Here is a 5,055-nt window from a genome sequence, read left to right as displayed (position 1 = left end):
GGTGCTTGTGTGTTGGGTGCATACATATTTAAGACAGTTATGTCTTCTTTTTGAATGGAGCCCTTTACCATTTATGTAATGCACTACTTCGTGTTTTTTGATCGTTGTTGGTTTAAAGTCTGTTTTGTCAGAAACTAGGATTGCAACCCCTGCTTTTTCCTGTTTTTCATTTGCTTGGTAGATTTTCCACCATTCCTTTATTTTGAGCCTATGGGTGTTACTGTACGTGAGATGAGTCTCTTGAAGACAGCATACAATTGCGTCTTGTGTTTTTTTTTGTTTTGTTTTGTTTGTTTGTTTGTTTCTTTTCCAGCTTGCCACCCTGTGTCTTTTAATTGGGACATTAAGCCTGTTTATATTCAAGGTTAGCATTGAAATGTGTGGACTTGATCATGGAATCATGATGTTACCTGGTTATTATGCAGACTTGTTCATCTGGTAGCTTTATAGTGACACTGGTTGGTGTACTAAAGTATGTTTTTGTAGTGCCTGGTCAAAGTCTCTAAATATTTAGTGCTTCTTTCAGGAGCTCTTGTAGGGCAAATCTGGTGGTAAAGAATTCCCTTGGCATTTGCTTGTCTGAAACATATTTTATTTCTCCTTTCTTATGAAGTTAATACCATCTTTAAGTGATAGAACCTCAGTTCGATTTACTAATGTTTATGCATCCTGTAACTACTTATTAATTTACTTGTGTTGCTTTCTTTTATAAAATTTTGCAAGTCTCATTTACGATAAAGAGTAAAACATTTGAAAAGTTGATTAGTAAGTTCATAGTCATTGTAGTTACATTATTTTTTCAATTACAAGAGAAACACTAGTTGTATATATAACTTGTTGAAATAATCTGGAAAGAACATGTATGAATCTATTTTCATGACATTCTGGAGAGTTAAGGGTCCCCTAAGTAGGAGAATCTTATTAGAAATGTGCAGTCTTGAAAGTAATTATACACAATTTAATGATGGAGATAAAAGTATTATTATTATTATGCTGCTACTTGATGTACAGATAATCAGGTTTCTAATGGATGGCTGCTCTACTTTTATCTTTCATGATTACAGAAGTATGCATAATTGTAGGAACAACAACTCTCATCTTTATAAAAATGAAAATAAAATTACTGTCATTACAGTTATTATTTGTTCAACACATATTTGCTGAGTACCTACTCTATACAAGAAACTGTTGGTGACAGAGAGATAATAAAATAATGACTCTTACAAAGCAGTCATGGTCTGGTAGGGTAAAAAGATATGTATGTATTGATCATATTCTAACATGTATAATAATAGAGTATGTATAAAACATGGCAATATAGTATATGTTCCTATTGTTGTTTGGTTTAAGTGTCTGAATGATCAAACTCATTTTCAAAGAATCAGATTGTCAAATAGAATGAGACTGTTTTGCTCCCATTGCAAGGTGCTCTGAGAATGTTTTAAATGAACTGAATGCCTCCTGCATTAGTCAGGGTTCTGTAGAGGGACAGAAGTAATAGGATATATGCATATATGAAAGGGAGTTTATTAAGGAGAATTGACTTACATTATCTCAAGGTGAAGTCCCACGATAGGCCGTCTGCAAGTTGAGGAGCAAGGAAGCCAGTGGTAGAACAGTCCGAGTCCCCAAACCTCAAAAGTAGGGAAGCCAACAATGCAGATTTCAGTATGTGGCCAAAGGCCTCAGAGACCCTGGCAAACCAGTGGTGTAAGTCCAAGAGTCCAAAAGCTGAAAAACTTGGAGTCCAATATTCGAGGACAAGAAGCATCCAGCATGGGAGAAAAATGAAAGCCGCAAGACTCAGCAAGTCAAGTCCTTCCACGTTCTTCTGCCTGCTTTATTCTAGCTGTGCTGGCAGCTGATTAGGTGGTGCCCACCCAGATTGAGGGTGGGTCTGCCTCTCCAAGTCCACTGACTCAAATGTTAATCTCCTTTGGCAACACCCTCACAGAGATATCCAGGAACAATACCTTGCATCCTTCAATCCAATCAACTTGAGACTCAATATTAACCATCACACCTACTGTGTGCAAAGAAATAGGCAATCATTTACTTTCATCTAAAACAGCGACCTTGCTTGAAGAAGAAATAATAAAAGCCAGACAATTATTGAAGAAGAAATAATAAAAGCCAGACAATTGCATTATTTTTCTTTATCCTTCTATGTTTTCCTGACTTGTTCTGCATTGCCTGTTGTGTACATTTTTCTTCCCAATGTTAAGAGGATTTTTAAAATCCTGTTGATTTAAGTTACTTTACAACAATCACAAATTGAGTGAAGAGTCCATTTTATATAATGTTGGTTAGGTCCTATTTATAAATAATAATCACAGGAATAATAGCACTATTTATGATAAGATCTCTTAGCAATTTTTGAACAAGTCACCAATTGTGGCAACTGATTATGACATTAAGAAGATAAATATGGAACTATTTTTTCAGAATCATTGAAGAAATCAGTAAGAAAGGCACAGCTGTCTTTATAAGTACATTAAGTGTGATTTGTTTGCACTAAGTATTTATCTTTTAGTCATCATCTTCAGTGAGTAGAAGTCCCATCAATGGCTGTTAATTAGGCAACATAAGAACGTCTCAGCTAAAGGCCTGCTGCATTTTGTTAACTTTTTGCCACAACGATCTGTCTAATACTATAAATGGAGTGTTGAAGACTTCCACAATTATTATGTGGAAGTCTAAGTTTCTGTGAGGATGCCTTATGATCTTGGCACATATTTTTTAATCAGATTAGGACTTCTTCCAAGATGGCCAAGTAGATGCAGCTGGGAAGTGCCATTTCTACAGAAAGGGACCATAGTTTTGAACTATACCAACATAATTTAACTAGATCTTCCAAGAGAAAAACGCCAAATGCAGATGGAGAAAAGAATTAAATGCTGAGGCTGAAGGTAAAGAAAGCTGAGGCCCAACACATAGTGCCTGAACATTATGGCTGGTTCCTAGCCATGAATAACACCTGGAGAAGGAGTGAATGAAGGGACTGGGAGACTGCTCACTCCCACCACAGACCTGTGGAATCCTAGTGTTGCAGGACTTTTCCTTAGTTCAGCTAAAGACGGGGTTCTTGTCTGTCCAAGAGCCACAAAACTTTAGGCTCGCAGATGGCTTAAAGGGTGAGTAAAGCAGGGTTTTATTGGGTGAAAAGGGAACAAAGGGGCAAACAGAAAAGCACTCCCTTAGAGTGCTTCCTGCCTGGCAGCTTGGATCCCAGGTTCCACACAGGAAGAGGAGGAGCCAGGTTCCTCCCTGCTGCAAATAGCATGAACTTCCCCAGGCTCCACCCCAGTGGGCAGGCTGGTTAGAGTCTCCAGGGACCCCTTCCCAGCTGGCTGTCTCACTAGCTGCTGCAGGGAAACCCAGAACCCCAAGGAAGTGTGAGCTCTCAGGGGTAATCTCCATAGAGATTAAATACAGAGCTGCAGCAGGCACTGAGCTGGGGACCTTTCAGCACGAGTCAGCTCCAGCGGATCCTGGTCATCAGTGCCTACCCTCTAGGGCTGCCCATCTCCCTCTGAGAGGCTCTGCACCCAGCTACCTGCTGAGGAGAAAGCAGGGCCTGCTTCTGCCACAGGACTGGAGCACATATGTCCTGCAAGTCTGTCTGCCTGCCAGCCCTTCCCAGGACCCCTGCTTGGTCACCTCATATTACCTCATAGGATTAAGTATACAGTGAAGCCCTGGATGCCAGGCCTGGCTGCGTTGTTCCACCCGAGTGAACTACAGAAGCCTGGGAGCCCTGCAGATACTCTATCACACCAGAACCACCACCCCGAGAATCCAGAATAGGGAGCCACAAGCAGGTTCTGGCACCTCAGGGCTGTGGCATGGAGCTCAGGAGTGCCAACCTGGGTGCTGTGAGCTGTGATAAGCACTTCAATGGGGAAGGAGCCCACACTTTCAGAAAATTGAGAGGGGTAAATCACAAAGGTTCACAGGCTGGTGTGGGACCTAGACATGCCTCCCTCCACAGTGCTGGTCTGGTAAGAGTGTGTCCTATTTCCCTACCAGACCTCTCCCCAAAGGACCCCTGCAGCCTGAAATACCTAGTGACGACAATAAAAATTGTGTGCACAGTGCCGTTAATTGAAAGTGGCTCCCTAAGGCCCATGAGCAGATCTTTTATGGGGGTCACCTCTCTCCCCCTTGTACCACAAAACACAGTTGCAAACACAAGTACACAAAAAGAAACTGAAAGGCTAAGGTCCCATTCACTGCCCATTGCTCTCAAGTGCCATCTACTGAATTGAAGTCCAAACTACAACACCAAAAATCACTTTACTAATTCCTCCCTCTATCCTCATTCTGCAAAACCAAGAGCAAGAATTCAACAACAAAGACCCTGTACAGAGACTTAGCTCTCTGAAATCATCCTGAAATTAAAACAATGGACTTAATTTACATCACAATTAAAGGAATACCAGCCCTCCTGAATGAGAAAGATTCTGCACAAGAATTCTGGCAATTCAAAAAGCCAGAGAGTGTCCCCTTACCTCCAAATGAGCCAATATATAACACCCCAGCAACAATTATTAACGAGTCTAAATTTTCTGAAATGTCAGACATGGAATTAAGAACTGAGATATCAATGAAGTTCATTGAGATCAAGGAGAATGTTGAAACTCAATTCAAAAAGGCCAAGCAACCCAGTAAAACAATTCAAGACCTGAAAGACAAAATAGTCATGTTAAGAAAGACTGAAACTGAACTTCTTGAGCTGAAAAATTCACTACAAGAATTTTATAATATGATCAAAAGTGTTAACAGCAAAATAGACCAAGCTGAGGAAAGAATCTCAGAATTCAAAACTGGTTCTTCAAATCAACTCAGTTAGACAAAAATAACAACAGACAAACAAACAAAAAATAATTAAGAAAAATAAAATTTTTGAGAAATGTGGGATTATGTAAAGAGAACAAATTTATAACTCACTGACAATCCTAAGAGATAATTAGAGATAACAGCAACTTGGAAATTATATTTGATGATATAGTCCCCCAAAATTTTCCTAATCTCTCTAGAGGTTGACATGCAAAT

General features: G+C 39.8%; 1 annotated feature.

Annotated features, from left to right (window-relative positions):
- Positions 3,664 to 4,164: an enhancer, noted in NCBI's record as "H3K4me1 hESC enhancer chrX:124960324-124960824 (GRCh37/hg19 assembly coordinates)". NCBI's record gives its function as "activates a minimal SCP1, AML or CMV promoter by ChIP-STARR-seq in primed H9 embryonic stem cells {active_cell/tissue: H9 hESC(primed)}" and the evidence as "EXISTENCE:reporter gene assay evidence [ECO:0000049][PMID:30033119]".

The sequence above is a fragment of the Homo sapiens genome, chromosome X, assembly GCF_000001405.40.
Source record: "Homo sapiens chromosome X, GRCh38.p14 Primary Assembly".
NCBI classification, from domain to species: domain Eukaryota; kingdom Metazoa; phylum Chordata; class Mammalia; order Primates; family Hominidae; genus Homo; species Homo sapiens.
This window is presented reverse-complemented; position numbering and strand designations above follow the sequence as displayed.